Consider the following 17075-nt stretch of genomic DNA (forward strand, 5'->3'; position numbering starts at 1 on the left):
GAATTGCTTGAACCCGGGAGGCAGACGTTGCAGTGAGCAGAGATCATGCCATTGCACTCCAGCCTGGGAGACAGAGTGTGACTCCATCTCAAAAACAACAACAACAACAAAAATAACAGAGATTTCTAGGCCCCATCACCTTTCATCCTGGGGTAGGACCCAGAGTGCTATATATATTTTTTAACAGCCCTATTGAGATAAAAGTCACATGGGATCTCTCTTTTTAATAGCATCTCTGGTGATTCTGATGAGAAGCCAGGTTTGGGGGCCACTGGCTTAAGGGGGAAGTCAACCAGACCAGGCATAGTTCCAGGGGATATGGAGGGAACAAGTTCAACAACAAAACAATCCCACTCTCATTAAGTCTCCATTCTATACAGGAATATGATAGTCTATTAGTAGATAAATAAGTTCATTTCAGATGCTGAAAGGTGCTATGGGTAAAACAGGGCCATGTGAAGTTGACTGACTAGGGAGGATGATTTAGCTGGAATCCAGGAAGATTCTCTGAGCAAGCAGAGTGTTGAATGGTGAGAAGAGACAGCTATGTGAGGGGACAGGAAGAGGGTTCCAGGCAGAGGGAGTATCCAATGCTAAGACCCTGGAGGAGAGTGAGGCTGGCAGGTTCGAGGACTGAAAGCAGGACAGGTGGCTGGAGCTTAGTGTGTGGGTGGGACCTGGAGGCAGGTGAATTACAGAGGAGGCAGCAGGCTGGTCATGCAGGCCCTCTAGGTCTAGGTTGGGGTAAGACAGTGTGAATGTTATGATAACTGTAATTATCATGTTAAGCAGAGAAATGACATGGTCTTATTTATAAAGATCATGTGGCTTCTATGGGAAGATAGACTAGGGGCATGTGGAGCCAGGGGCTGTTGCAGAAATCCAGTTGCAAGATAATGAAGATTGGGTTAGGATCATGCCCTTGGAGATGGGGAGAAATGGGATCCCATCAGATTTGGGATCTACTTTACAAATAGAGCTATGAGCCTAATAATGGATTGGATATTGAGCACGAGGAAAAGAGAGGAATCAAGGATGATGCCTAGGTTTTTGGACTGATCAGCTAGAGAGTGGAGCCATTTCTCAAGATAGATAAGGCTTGGGGTGGGGATAGATGGCAGATGTAGGGGAGAAAATGAATATGTTTTAGTCATATTCTTTTGAGATGCTCATTGGACCTCCTAAGACAATATGTTAAGTAGGCACTTGGGTGTAAAGTCTGGATCTGATGGAAGAGTTCAGGGCTAGAAACACACATTTAAGAGTCAACAGAGTGTATGATCACCTGAGGGAAGAATATGGATTGAGATGAAGACCAAGACCAGAAAGCTGGGGTCAGTGGGACATTTAGAGGTTTGGTGTAGGAGGGTGTGATAACGCAGGAGATGGAGAATGATATGTGGGAGGTGGGAGAGAAGCAGATGAATGTGCAGCCTAGAGAAGGCGGCATTCAAGAAAGAGACAGTGGTTGACCTTGCTGAATGCCACTGAGAGAGCAAGCAAGAATGGACAGTGAATTGAATGATGTCTTTAGCAAGATGTAGGCCTTACTGGTTTAGTAAGGCCTACATCTTACTTACTGATGTTGTTTTAGTGGTAAGGGCAAAAGCATAACAGGAATAGAATGAAAAGAGAGTCCTTGTCCTAGTTCTCAGAGGACAGCTTCTCTTCCCTACTCAAGAGCTTGACTCACAAAACTGAAACTGTGTACCCGTTAAACAACAATTCTCCATTCCCTCTTCCCCCAGCCTTTGGCAACCACCATCCTACTTTCTGCTTCTATGAATTTGACTACTCTAGATACCTCATATCAGGGGAATCATACAGTATTTATGTTTTCATGGATGGCTTATTTCACTTAGCATAGTATCCTCAAGGTTCATCCATGTTGTAGCATGTGTCAGATTTGCTTCCTTTATAAGGCTGAATATATGTGTTAGACTTTCAATGTATGTTTATGTTCTGTTTCCCTCTCCACCACCCCACAGTTTCAAACAGATAGTTGTACTTTTGTTATTTCTCCTTATCTCAGGGATTTTTGCAGGGCTAAAAAGAAGAACCAGTTGAAAATAATTGCTCCTGCATTTTAAAAAAAATCTAAGCCACTGAAGACATAACTCAAGATTGATGGAGGCAGGGCATAGTGGGGACAGAAAGGATAGATGACACCTCCAGGACAGGAGGGGACACATGAGAGGATGGAGGAGTGGCACGATCCTCAGAGGAAATGGCTCGTGGGTGCTCAAGGAGTATGGGCTCCACGATGCAGATTCTGTGCCTCACCTGTTGCATGAAAAAGCACAAGCTTCAAGGGATCACATGAGCTGAGATCAGAGAATACAGTAGCAGCTGCTATGGACTGGAGGTAAAGGACCCTTTCTCCGTTTCACAGTTATTTCTTAAGCCTCATGCATCTAGGGCTATCATGAGTGATACTGAATTTTCTTCCAAACCACCGGGATGAGGCCTCAATTCAGAATTAAGCTACTCTAAATAGAGTACTATGTCTTTTACACCTGAGTTTGTGGAGTAAAATTCATTCCCACTATGCTCTGCAGTTTCCTTCTAAAGCATTGTAATTAACTTCCATGCATCATAGCATAGAGGTTTATAGAACAGTAGGATAATGGATGTGAAAACACTTTGAAAGGTTATAAACACCAAATAAATGGAAGGGGAGAAATAGCCATGCCGCACTCAGAATGAAAATCACCGTCCCATTAACCCAGAAAGCTCCAATAAACCACAGACCTAGCTAAACTAGAGAAGGTCACTCTTTTTAATAGTGTATGATCAACAATATTAGCTTGAATATGTTAACATCTTTTGTCATCAGAAGTTCCAGGAGAGTAGGAACTAGTATGAGATGAGCCCAGCTAAACGTTAAATATTATTAGTAGATTGCCACTTTTTTTGTTACAATTTATGTTAAACAGAGAGGAAATGAGGAAAGAAAGGAGGAAGAAACATTTTCTTTTCTCTACCTCCTTCCTGAAATTCTACCTTGCATCCTAATAATGTAAATACTGCTGGAAAGGGTAGGCTAGGGTAAGAGTAAGCTATTATCAGTCATTCATATTTACACTTGGCTCTTTCATAGGAGCTGAGCAGATTTGCTGGAAAGTGTAGTAAACCTGTGAGCAGTTAGAGAAAGCTCCCTGCTAGGGAAAAGCACTTTCCCTCTCGCTCAAATTATTTAGGGTGATAAGAATAAACTTGAGTGACTTTGATATTTGGTCCAGAGCACTCCAATCAGTACCAGACCAATCCGCCTTTGACGCAGATGGTAATTTGATAATTTCTACAAGAAATGGTTCAGATTCCTGCCCTACACTCAACAGTTCAGGCTGCAATCTCAATGTAGTTTAATCTTTAGAGGACCATTTGTTTTTTGCCGCAAGGCATTCTTTAAGTAGGCAGCCTGGCTCACTTGAGCACAGGCAAACCTGCACGTCGCAGCACCCAATCCAAATGGAAAAAAAAGTCCAGGGAAAACATTAATCAGGTGTGAATCTTACAGATGAGAAAATTGTGAGGGGCAGCAGGATAGCAGAGGAAAAGCATCTGTCTAGTGTTTGTTGGATCACCAAGCCCAGGAGGATGGGTTGCCTAGCAACTCCCAGTCACTTCAGACTAGTGCTAGGCAACAAGATGCAATCTGTCAGCCACATCTGATCGGTGTTTTCTCCTGGTTTTTAGAAGACATGTAGGTATTTCAGCAGCATCTAATTATCTTGATTTCATTCACTTCACTGTCTGCATCGGGTATCTAGTCTCCCCCTATCCCTCCCTCCTTGTAATGTTCAAATGCTCTTCTCATACAGGAAGGAACCTAAACCTTGGAGGGAAATTTCATCCATTTCAGGGAAGAGGAATATGAAAATGTGTCATTTTTGTTACATTAGGCATTTCCCACTTTTCATTAAGCCAGCTCTCTATGATCATTTTCAGGGTTCCTTACAGACATACAAATCGTTAGAGACACAAAGAGAAATCAACTGACAAATGCCTAGGAAACCAGGACCTATATTTCATGATGATGGTGGCCATTCTACCGCCTTCTTGCTTCCCCATGGGAGGAGAGATGGGCACGTGGTAATACGGCTTCATCTGATTTCTGCAGTCCAGCAATCAATGGTGTTTATTGAGCCGATTGAGCACTTTCTGTGTATTCATTTTTTTTCTTTTTAAATTCTCACGGTAACCCTATTGCTAGTTCCATTTCACATTTGAGGAAAATGTCTCAGGAAGCCCAAGTCTCTAAGACACGCAGTTCCTTGATGGCTCTAGGTGTCCTTTGGTGTCTTTCCAAAGGTATATGTGACATGGTCTGTGCTCATGGTCTGTGCTAGTTGGGAAACTGGTAATGATTTTGAATTATTGGATTTTTTAAAAATTCAAGACAAAATGGAATTTAGAGGGATTCAGAATAGGGGAAGTCTATGGTTGTCATCTTGCAGGGAATGAGCCTGTAAAAAGGCTTAAAGAAATTGAGGAGAGGATTCCATGCTCCCCTGAATATCCTTCCAGTAAAGCCACTAAAAAGCAGTGGCATCTTTTGGGTCTTCAGGCCAGTCTTTAACTTTCAGAGGGCAGTGCAAAAAGTGGAAACAAAAGTGAACCTAGACCGTACTCTGCCCCTGGTTTTGGTTGAACTTTAGACTCATAGTTTTACAAGCCCCTATATGCATAGGTCTCCAGGCACCCCACCACTTCATATAGGTCCTGGCTGCCACGTAAACATCCACCTATTCAGAGACCGGATTGAAAATGAGATAAATATTAATCTTTCCTGGCATGGCAGTGCCTGATTTTCCAATTAGGAACTAGAAAACAAACGGAAAATCAAGTTGCCCAGAGAACAGAAAAGGGCGGGGGTTGGGGGAACGAATCAAGAGGATTGGTTCAAGGTCAAAGTGAATAAGGTGATAACTTACCAGCATGTGAGCTATCTTTTTATTTTTAGAATAGCTCTTTCTAAGGTTTATTGCTTTTGGAAAGAAGTTTTAGGATATTATTATATTTGTATGTTCTAATGCCTGGGTATCATCCCCTACACACACACACACACACACACACACTCACTCACACACATCATGGCTTTGTTAAGCTATTGAGTCTCAGATCACCTGTAAAAGGTATTAAGTAGGGCAATGATTCTTAAACTTTAATGAACATATAAATCATCATGCCAAAAAGCAGATCCTTAGGTGAGGTGAAGCTCAAGATTCTGTCTTCCTAACAGACTTCTGATCCAGAAATCATATTTTGAGTAACAAGGCTTTAGAGGCTTACTGATTAGAGTCAGAAATTGGGTTAGAGGATCCCACAGGTACTTCTGCTTTTTAAGATATTATTCGTGATTAGAGTGTTGTTTAAACTGAAACCATCAAAGGTAGCAAAAATTGGCAGACTCACTGAATCTCAGCATTGGAGACCACTCTGTTCTCTGGAAAACTCCCTGCTGATGTAACCTATTCTTTTTCCCCAGCAGCAGTGAGGTTTGAAGTGATGCTTGACACCACGGTACAGAACCTCTTGGAATCCTTGCCAAAATTCTTTGAAGTAACTGTTATTACTTTTATTTTCAAAGTGAAGAAATGGATAGGAATGGCCATAAAGTATGAGCATGAACTGAAGAGAGGTAAACAATGATTAATAGCAATGTCTGCTGGGCTGCTCCAGGGATCTTTATTGCATTTTATCTAACAGCCTCATTAATGGTCTAGAAGAGGTAGATGCTAACAGAACTTTAATTACATTCATGGTGGATATTAAATTGGAAGTGATTGTGAGTCTCAGGAAAGGCAGAAAGGCAACCTCAGAGTACATGATGAGTAGAAGATAAAATGAAATCCACCATTAATAGGTGAAGAGAAATGCCTTCTGCACATGGCTGGCATGGAAATAATAAGGGTTTCAGAGACTGGCTTACTGTGTGCCAGACATTGTCCTGGGTGCTTTGGAGATTAAGTCTTTTGTTCTTTCCAGTAACATGATGGGGTGGACGCTATTGTAATTCTAACTTTAGGTACCTAAGGAGATTGAGGCTGGGAGAGGTGAAGGGGCTGACAAGGTACCCTGGTAGCAAGTGGTCTAGAAATTTAACAAAATAAATCCTCCTGAGTCTTTTGGTCTTATAGTTATTTTCCTATAGAGTTACAAAAGAGTTGTAAAACTATGCTTTAGACTTGTTTCTGGTTATTTGGCTTAAGTGAAATATTTTTTGTGTATTAGCCTCAGGACAACCTATTTCAAGAAATCCTTTTTGAGAGAGATGTTTATAGCATCCATTTCATGACCGCCATGACTACTTGGGCATCCAGAAAGGGGCCCTGGCTGTCAGAAAGCGGCACACACTTTGGGGGTAGAGGCTTGATCTGTTGGTTTACTCTACGTCTCCAGTTTCTAGAAGAGTGCCCGGCATACGGTAGACATTCAAGAAAGAATTACTAAAAGTATGTCAATTAGTCCACGTTGATTTAGCATCAATAGCTTTAACTTGGTATTCAGAAAGAATTAGGTAGTGGGTTTAATGGCAGAGACAAAGGCTGTGGGTGTGCCTTTGTGACACATTTCTGCTCCATGGACTTAGAAGTTTGACCTTGGCCTTACTGCCATTTCTAATGTGTAGCCTGGGCAAGTAATTCATCAAGGTTTTCTTGCCCATAAGGAGGGATCATGGTTGTGCCTTTCCTTGCCTTCACAGATGGGGAGAATCATATAAGAAGAAGGCTGAGAAGGCATGCTGTCAACTGTAAGCCACAATACTAATGTTTGTTATTATCATACAATTAGGATCTTGCACTGTGTTTATCAAATTTGATATCCCTAGGCTAATATTTGGGAAACAATTAAGCTAGCTTAACCACTCAAATAAATTCACTGTACACTAAGCTAGTCCAAGAGAGTATGGCTCATCACTTTGGAGCAGATGGCAACAGACTATATTTTCTTTGCTGGGTGAACTTCAGAATCTTTGGAGACTGGGCCCAGGAATGTTGTTATGAAAAATGCCTCCATATGATTGTGATGTTCTGCCAGGTTTGAGAATAATGACAAGGTGAAGAGAAAACTTGCTTCCTAAGGAGAAAGGGGAGGGCTCTGAGAACAAATGGCTGGAAGGCAAGTAAGTGGTCAAAGGATGCCAAAGGGTGGAGAGTGCTGGACAACCTTGACTTTAGACAGGAAAGAGGTAATAGGAAACAGTTTCATAGTCAATGTCACAGGCTGTGCCTTGAGTGGGTAATGCAGGGGCTCCCATCACCCAGCTCAGGGTGGAGTGCTTAGTGTCTATACCAGGAGAGGAAGCAGAGTCAATATTTGCTAGTTCTGGTAATTGAGGATCATTTTGCAAACAGATGTTTCTAGCGTTGGCTTTCATGCCACTGACTGAGCTCCCTCCTTCACATAGAGTTGCATTAGTTTCCCCTTTCTTTGTACCTTCTGACCCATCCATTTCCCCATGCCCAGCAGTGGGTGTAAGTCACAGTCATTCATTGATTCAACAATTATTGGTTGAGTGCCCGCTCTTTGCCAGCCCCTATGAGAGGCCCTGAGAACTCTATTCCCAGGGAACAAAACAGACAAGTCCATGCCCTCTTAGAGACCACATTGAAATGGGGAGACAGACATGAATGAAATAAATAAATGCACATAAAAGTTTAAAAAACCCCAAAGCTCTGTGTGTACCATGAAGGAAATGTGTGGGGCTGATGAGAGCTTACAGTAGAAAGGTGTGCTGCAGTGAAGGTGTCCAGAACGGTGTTCCTGAAGGAGTGGCGTTTGTGCTGGTACTCAAGGGTGGTGGAAGCTGACTAGGTGAGGGGAGTGGAGGAAGGAGTAATTCACAGTGTTCAGGATTGAGGGATCTGTCACAGGAAGACAGGCGTGGCTAGGGGACAGAGATGGTGGCCTGGCAGGTGTCTGTGTTGGGCCTCTGTCTTAAGGGAAATGGGAGACCTGGAAGTTTCTAAGGAAGAGTGGCAGTGTGCATAGGAGGTATATGAGGAAGAGAAAGAGAGAGAGAGAGAAAGAGAGAAAGAGAGACAGAAAGAAAGAGAGAGAGAGACTGTACTAGTTTGCTCTGGCTGCCATAATAAAATACTGGGTGGCTTAAAAGTCAGGAGCCTGGAAGTCCAAGATCAAGGTGTTGGCAGTGTGGGCTCTCCTGAGGCCTCTCTCCTTGGCTGTCTTCTCTCTGCCTGGTGCTCTCTCGATGTAGTTCCTCTGTGCATGCAACCCCTGAGTGTCTCTTTCTCTTTTTATAAGACACCTATCAGATTGGATTAAGGCCCACCCTAATGCCCTTATTTAAACTTAACCACCTCTTTCAAGGCCTTATTTTCAAATGCACTCATACTCGGAGGTACTAGACTACAACATACACATTTTTTCTTTTTTGGTGGGGTGGGGTGGGGAGGGGGACACAGCTTGGCCCAGAACAGGGGTGTAGGCAGATTTATGGTTTTTTTTCTTTCTCAAAAATTTGTTATTTCCATAGGTTATTGGGGAACAGGTGGTGTTTGGTTACATGAGTAAGTTCTTTAGTGGTGATTTGTGAGATTTGGGTGCACCCATCATTACCCGAGCAGTACACACTGCACCCAGTTTGTAGTCTTTCATCCCTCACTCCCTTCCCACCCTTTCCCCCTGAGTCCCCAAAGTCTGGTTTCTCTGGCCTCAAGTGGAGAATGAATGGAAGCAAGCACCTAGCTGAAGCTCCCACCGTGGCCTGGGCTCAGTTCATGCCACGTGCTCTGGAATATGCTCTATCCAGGCAGTGCCTCAACCCTCCGTCCTGTCTCCTATAAAGACTATTCCCTTTACGTGCAGAACGTTCTAGTGCTGTGAAAATCTGAACACTGCTTTACAAGCTTACTTTATTTATTTATTTTCACTTTCAGTTGGAATTCATTTTTAATATTTAAATACAAAAAGTGAGCACTGGCTTTATTATTATTATTATTTACACACACAGTTCTAATAGACAAAATGTGCAGAGGAAATGAGCTCGCATTTCTGTCCTTCACAGCCCTCATCTTGTGGCTAAAGCTGCAGCCGGCCTCCCTCCTGTCCAACATACATAAGGACTCATAGTGGCTGCTTTATGTTACGATTGTAATGCATTTTGTGTGTTTCATAGTGTATACACGCTCTTTTCTCTCTCTCTTTTTAAAGCAGTTGTTAATGGTCAGGGGTACCACCCTTCCACTAGCATCAGTTGCTACCTCACAATCAGATAGTGAGGAAATCTTCCAGTTAGGAGCAATTGATTGATAGGAGTTGGGGGGTGAGGGAGGTGGTGGCCAGGGCTGGAATAACCACTGCATGGCTGCACTCTGGCATCAGAGTGACGACAGAAGTAAGTCAGGAGAGCGTGGAGAGTACAGTTGCGAGTTAAGCTCTCTTTGTGAGACAATGTGAGGAGAATTCTCTCCACCAGGTTTAGATAAATCCATGTACCAAAGTTAAAAAAAAAATCAAAATAATCAGGAATTCAAACACTATTGAATTTAAAATTCTCCCACCGAGACAGCTCAAATATAGCAGTCACCATCTAGATCTTTCCAGGAAGTGAAGGAGGGCCCCTGGCATTCTTCTGGACAGCCGTGTGGCGCCGGAGACGTATCTGCCGCTGCTGCTGCTGCTGCGGTTGCCCCATTTGCAACTTCTCTGTCTCAAAGATGACAACAAGAACCAGAATCATGAAGAAAGAGGTTCCAATCCACAAGGCTGCCCTGGAAAACCAGTACATTTTTTGAGCCACGAAGAGGGGAGAGATGGAAAGTGGCTCTGCCCTCGGACTGGCCCCTCTCCGGAACATCTCCTTCAGGCCCCACAGCCTCTCCGACAGGGTCTCATCTGGCTCCTTGTGGTCGCCCTCATCCAGTTCCTCCTCAGTCTTTTGGCAGCAATTTATCCACCGACAGGGGTTCCTCAGCGCTGGCGTGGGAGCCATGGCTGTGACGAGCTAGACTTTAAAATATTAGCAAATTGGCCGAGCACGGTGGCTCACGCCTGTAATCCCAGCACTTTGCGAGGCCGAGGCGGGCGGATCACCTGAGGTCAGGAGTTTGAGACCAGCCTCCCCAACATGGCGAAACCCCGTCTCTACTAAAAATACAAAAATTACCCAGGCGTGATGGCGGGCACCTGTAATCACAGCTACTTGGGAGGCTGAGGCGGGAGAATCTCTTGAACCCGGGAGGCGGAGGTTGCAGTGAGCCGAGATCACGCCACTGCACTCCAGCATGGGCGACAAGGGCAAAACTCCGTCTCAAAATTAAATAAATAAATAAATAATAAGCAAATTTGGTGCTAGAAAATTTTGCATTGGAACGGTACTTCCAAATTTGAGTTTTCAAGCAAACAACAAAAGAACCCAAAACAAACAAATAAAAAACCAATCACCTAAAGGCAACAGGAAACCATTTTCATAACTTAATTTTGAAAACACCCGATAAATAAAATAATTTTATTTTATTGCATTTTTCTTTTGCCGAAGCATTACTTAAAATAAGTGAACACATATTAGCTGTCCTTTAAAATGTGCTTCTCTGACTTGTCAGTATGTTTTAGAGAATGAAAAATGAGAGAAAGTTATATTACTTAGCTATTGAAAGTTAATTTTATATTTCCAGTCCTTGACAGTATAAGAAAAACGAGAACAACAAATCAGAGTAAATACAAATCATCTACCCATTCAAATAATCAGCACCATCAACAATTCATTGTAAGGAAATGCTTTTTTTTTTTTTTTTGGTGAGACGGAGTCTGGCTCTGTCGCCCAGGCTGGAGTGTCGTGATTTTGGCTCACTGCAGGCTCCGCCCCACGGGTTCAAGCCATTCTCCTGCCTCAGCCTCCCGAGTAGCTGGAACTACAGGCGCCCGCCGCCACGCCCGCCTAATTTTTTGTATTTTTAGTAGAGACGGGGTTTCACTGTGTTAGCCAGGATGGTCTCGATCTCCTGACCTCGTGATCCGCCCACCTCAGCCTCCCAAAGTGCTGGGATTACAGGCGTGAGCCACCGCGCCCGGCCAGGAAATGCTTTCTAAAACTTCAAAAGATGGCAATATTGAAGAACCTCATTCAGAAAATAAACCGTGGCCTACAATGGGAAGAATGAGGGGTATCAGAATCATTGTTAGTCATTCAATATGTATTTTGTACCTGCTATGCACAATAACGTTTCTCAAATATGGTTGCTGGACCAGCTTGCATTCAAATCACCTGGGAAATGTGTTCCACATGCACATTCTTGGGCCTGATTCTAGACCAAATCTAAATACCTGGGAAAGTGATCCGTAAATCAGCAGCTATAACCCATCTCAAATCACTGCAGGTGATTTTTAAATCCAGCTATGTTTGAGGACCACTGTCATGGACAAATGTGTTCTGTTACGTGAGGGGAAAAGGGGGAAATCACTTCCATGTGTCTGCCATGAAGGATTTATGATTGGCTTAGGAAGCTTACATGGAAATATGAAACCGTAAGGAAACACATCACAGCCTAGAATTGCTGACTTCAAGAGACCACCGTGGTGATTTAGCTTAATCCTTTCATTTTAAAAGTGAGCAACGCACACCAAGAAGGCTGACTCAGGTCACACACTTAGGGTGAGTGCTGGGGTTTGAATCCAGCCTCTAGTTCAGCATTTGGTCTCCTCTATGATGACACATAAACCACTACCCTTGCATTGCTTCAAATCCATCCAGATGCAGTTCATAGTTCTTACAAAGAGGACCAGACCAGCTTTCTACTGAAGAAGCTTAACTTTTGTTTTTAAGAGATCACATAATCTTCTCTCTTTTTCAAGTTTGAAATAAAACCATGCAAGAATTCTGCAAAGCATGTTCCTGGGAAAAGCTCATCAACTGTGGTGGTTGTTGACTAGAACATCAGCTAGGAAAAAAAAAAAAAAAAAGCTAAGGTCATCCAGGTTGGGCATGTGGCCTGTTGAGCTTCACTGGTTCCTGGAATTCTGAAGTAGTCTCCTGTAATTAATTTTTAACTTATCTAGGTCTGTTTGTTACAATAAAATTTTCTTCTTGCGGAGGAAAAAAATGAAGGGATAGGAGATTATTTCATCCTGAAAGGTTGAGGGAGTTTAATATCATTAAGAATGCAAAGTGTTTTATATAACTTAGAACCAGAGAAGAAACAAGTTCACTAGCTCATGAGGGATTTGGGCTCTAAAGAATGAAACACTTCCAGAAGCTGAGGGTTGTGACACATCAGGAACTGCTGCCAAGAGAAGAGCATTGCCATCTCCTCATGCAGGGGATTTTGGAAGACAAATGGACTATCAACTGTCTTGCAATTCTCTTGGGTTTTCTCATCCAGGACTATGGTTTTCACCATCCCCTACATTAGAAAGTCCTTCAGATCCTAATCCTCAGTCCTTACCACGATGATGATCCTACTCTTGCCTCCTGGGCTCTTGGCATAAGGAGCCCAAAGTGCCTGGGTGGCAGCTGTCAGTGGAAGTTCAGTGGGACTCTTGCTGTGTGCAGCAGCAGAAGTATCCCCCTTTGAGAGTCAGAACCTGTGACCCTACAGAGCTCAGAATTGCAGGGACTGGAGGCAAACTACCACGCGATGTTTTTAAATTTCCAGTTGCCTTGTAGATATCTTCACTTGGATATCCCCCATCATTTCAGCCTCAGCGGTCTAAAATCCGAAATCAAGCCCATCTTTTCTCCCAACCCGCTTTTCTCCTTTTAATTGGACCATCATGGTTAAAAGCATTGCTCATCCATGACACCACCAACACCGGAAGTTCCTGAATCATCTTTCACGATGTCCTCTCTGCTCACAACTTATTTGTTAACAACGCTTTTAAACTTATCATATGAATATCTTTCAAGGAAAGTGTCCAGTGGGTGTTAGTGTTAGTTAAAGTCTTCTGGAGTTAGTGTCACAGGCGCCTGAATGCTGCCTTTAGTTGTCTGGGCTAGGCTGAAGTGTGCAGAGCAGTGCAGGTGGCTCAGCTTGCAGCTGGCCCAGCTGGGGCTGGGGGTACCATTGCAGGTTGGGTTCCCCCTGGGAAGCAGATCCTGAGATGGAGATTTGTGTTCAAGAAAAGGATTAGGGAGCATTCTTAGAATGGATATCTGTGGGGAAAGGGAAGGAAGCAGGATCGGGAAGAGGGAGAATTGGGGCAGCAATGAAGTCACAACAAGATCTCAGCCCACCCCACAGGGAGCACTAAAGCTGGGATGGCCTTTCCGAGTTGTCCCCCAGGTAGATCTGTCATTGGATGCAGGCTTCCCTGGAAAGGGGTGTGATCTTGGGTGAGGCAACTCTCTTTAGCCAAAGTCATTCTTGAAGGTGGTGACAGCTAAGAGCTATTATCAGATAATCTTCCTAACAGCTGGGTGAATGAATCCTTCCATCCTCAGGCAGGGGCCCTTGTTAGGCAGCACAGTCTCCACGACAGCTCACATTTTCCCCCTTTTGAAGCCTTTTCCTTCATCTGGGTACTGGGAAGAGGTCCTTCAGCTCTCTTGTGCACCCCTTCTCCTGGGGAAAACTTAGAACAGGAATGTTGGTGGAGGGAACCACAGTCACCACTGCTGTAGTTGGACTTGAGGCTGCAACTGCCTCATCATCTCCCTCCTCTATTTCTCATTCTGGATTCCCCTCTGCTTGTGCTTACTTGGTGGAGAGACCCAGACCTTCATCCCTGAGCTATGCAAGCACTTGTTTGCATTCATTTCTAAGGCCATGGGTGTTGCACTTGTCCATGTACTGTACAATTGGCCAGGATTGGGGAGGTCCAATAGGTTCACCTGGGTACCAAACATATTTCTTCTTGCTCCTATTTGTAACAGCAACTTGACTTCCTCCTGATGATCAAGGTCTATTGTCTCTGTCAGAATGGAGATCTTCTTCTTGTCTGCTGGTCCCCTGGCATAAAGAGCCTGAGTGCCCAGTGGCAGCCATAGCTGAAAGTTCAGCGGGCTTCTCGCTGTATCCATCAGTAGTTGTGTCCCCCTTTGAGAGCCAGAAACTGTTAACCTATGGAGCTTAGAGGTACAGGGACCAGAGGCAAAACTTTTCTGCAAGATGATAAGTTGGGCCATTCCTTCTCCCACCTGTTGTTTCCTGGACCCATGTGCTATATGCTGCTCACAGGCTTAGCATGCAAACTGTGTGTTGCAGGGTGCACCCTGTCCATACAGGACATCACATCCTCATTGGCTCCTCATCTGTGCCTTTGGAAGACATTTCTGTCCATCTGTTAGGCCAGCAGCTTCAGGGCTGGATAGGATGTGAGATACCAGTGGGTCTCATGGTCATGGGGCTGCTGTCTCACCTCCTGTGCTGTAAAGTAAGGCTCTTGATGCTATGTGAGCACAATGGTACGTGGGATGTGAGAATGTGGATCAAACACTCTGGAGTCTTCAGGTAGTAGTGCTGGCTAGGGCCCTGCAAGCAAGAAAGGCAAACCCATACCAGAATGTCATCAGTTCTGCTGAAATGAATTGCCGCCACTTCCAACATAAAAGGGGCCCCATATGGCCATTTTGCTACCAAGGGGCTGTTTGGTTTCCTTGAGGGAAGTTGCCATATTGGAGGCTGGTGTTGATTTGTGTTGCGGGCAGGATTTCCTTCAGCATGGGCAGTGGCCAGATCAGCCTTGGTGAGAGGGAGGCCACGCTGCTGGGGCCGTGCCTGACCTCCATCCCTGCCCTTTGGCTACCTCATTCATGTGACTATTGGGTTAGCACAATAAAGAAATATTTAAAACTTTCTTCAGGTTAAATTTCAAATATGGTAAATATTTATAAATATAATTCACATGGTCAAAAACTCTTGAGTCCACAATCTTTTTTTAGAGTAAAAAGGGGTCCTGAGACTAAAATATTTGAGAAGCACCGTCCTAGGTCAGTCACTGTGCTTCTGATTGGTCAGAACTACTGGGTGTTGTGTCCATCCCTCCCTGTGGGCTGGGGATAGGGAAAGGGCAGGCTTCTTTGAAACTCTGTAGCCTATGAATGGGGGACAAGTGGCTCACAAAAGAAACCCCAGGAGCTTCTGTCAGCAAAGCAGGGATGCATACTACAACAAAAAGACAAAGAAACCAAAAAATCAAACAACAAGTGTCTACCACATTAAGGGGCTTAGTTTCATTGTTTCTTGAACCCTCAGGGCTTGGTATCATGTAGAATAAACACTGTTTGTTTAATTACTGAATGAATGAACGCATAAACAAAGGCTGGGAGATGACTCAGATAACTGCTTGAGGTCCTTCTAACCCCATATTCTGAAGGGCGTGTGTGTGTGTGTGTGTGTGTGTGTGTGTGTGTGTGTGTACATTAAATAGGTAGGTGATCATGACTACAGAGTTGGCATTTTTGAAGCCCCCACAGCCAAAGGGTCAGACCAGAGCCCAACCAGGAACCTAGAACAAGCTGGCCAGTGGAGGCAGCAGGAGTGGCCACAGTTCACACCCCCCAGCCCTGGGAGGACACTGGGAAACCACGTGGAGCTCTGAAGCGGAGACCCACAAGTTCAGAGGTAAGAGACAACTGATTATGCTATTTAGAAATGACATGGCAAGTTCACGGACAGTGAGCTACCAGTATGCATGCTTGGAAGCAGTTGTCATTTGGAAGTGACCCAGTATGCCGTCTGTGTATCTGAATATGAGAGATACCCATTTAAGGATGAATTTAGAGGGGCTCAGAAAAGAGTGCAACTAATAGAGCTCTACAGGTCTGGGTGGATGCCAAACAGCTATGGGGGACTGAGGGAGTGACAGAAGTACTTTTAACAAATAATTGTGGCCAGGTGCAGTAGCTCACACCTGTAATACCAGCATTTTGGGAGGCTGAGGTGGGAGGATCATCTGAGGTCGGGAGTTTGAGACCAGCCTGGCCAACATGCTGAAACCCCGTCTCTACTAAAAATACAAAAATTGGCCAGGCATGGTGGCACGTGCCTGTAGTCCTAGTTACTTCTAGGGAGGCTGAAGCAGGAGAATCGCTTGAACTTGAGAGGCAGAGGTTGCAGTGAGCCAAGATCGCACCACTGAACTCCAGCCTGGGCAACAGAGCGAGACACCCTCTCAAAAAACAAACAAACAAACAGATTTTGCACTGTGGGTGCCCAGGACAGAGATACTGCTGAAGAGAGAGCATTCTGCTGGGCCAGGAAGGTTGACATGGGATTGCTGCTCACATCCCAGACAGGGTGCTCCATGCTCCCTGGCTTGCGGGTGCTGCTGCTGAAACTCTGAGCAGGCCCAGCACAACATGTGCTCATATTTTCCTTCTTTCTGTGACAGAAGATCGCATTACTTCGGGGTTTCCAGATGTCTAAAATTGAAGTGTGTAAAATTGAGTATGGCTAGCAGCCCAATAAGATGTGAAATTCTATCAGGGATTTCCCTGCCTGATAGAGATGGACCAACTCCACTCAAGTGTCGGGATGACCCATGTTATAGCTGAATCCAGGAGAGTGCAGGAGGGGAGGTCTCCTGGGCTGCTCTGTGATGGAATGTGATGTCTGCATTCTGGATGGCTTCCCAATCTGGGGAAGAGCGGAGCTGGATAACTGGAATGTGCAGTGAGGTGAAGATGAGATTTCTCACCTTGATCTGTCCTCAGAGAACAAGCGTTTATCAGTTGAGATGATGAGGACATACATACAGATACATGGGCTCACAAAGTGAAAGCTATCCAGGAGACCAGCACCTCGGGGAGAGGGATAACTGCTTGGGAGACAAGGTCTTTAAATTGGAATTTAGATTAGAAATATTTCCTCTATATGCTGAAGTTATCTGCCCAGGGAAAGGAAGTCTTTCTTTAGAACGAGTGAACAGCTTTTTGCTTGGGGATGTACATCTGTTTATTTTAAAACGTAGTAAAAGTTCACAACCTATAGCGCAGATGTTTAGGGGTAAGGAAAGTGGATACCAATGGAACAGAATTACATGAACACAAGGCTGATGGCAGGAGTGGCACAGCAACAGCACATGGGAGGAGACAGAGACTTAGCAAAAAAATCAAATGCAGGCTGTCAGGTGTACACTCGTTAGCTGTGCCAGGATGGAACAGACATCTG

The 17075-nt window shown here is 44.4% G+C and overlaps 1 pseudogene; it reads right to left on the reverse strand.

Annotated features, from left to right (window-relative positions):
• Positions 1-9359: 9359 nt before the first annotated feature.
• Positions 9360-9967, reverse strand: TOMM22P3 (TOMM22 pseudogene 3; annotated as a pseudogene).

Source organism: Homo sapiens, chromosome 13 (genome assembly GCF_000001405.40).
Source record: "Homo sapiens chromosome 13, GRCh38.p14 Primary Assembly".
Classification (NCBI taxonomy): Eukaryota; Metazoa; Chordata; class Mammalia; order Primates; family Hominidae; genus Homo; species Homo sapiens.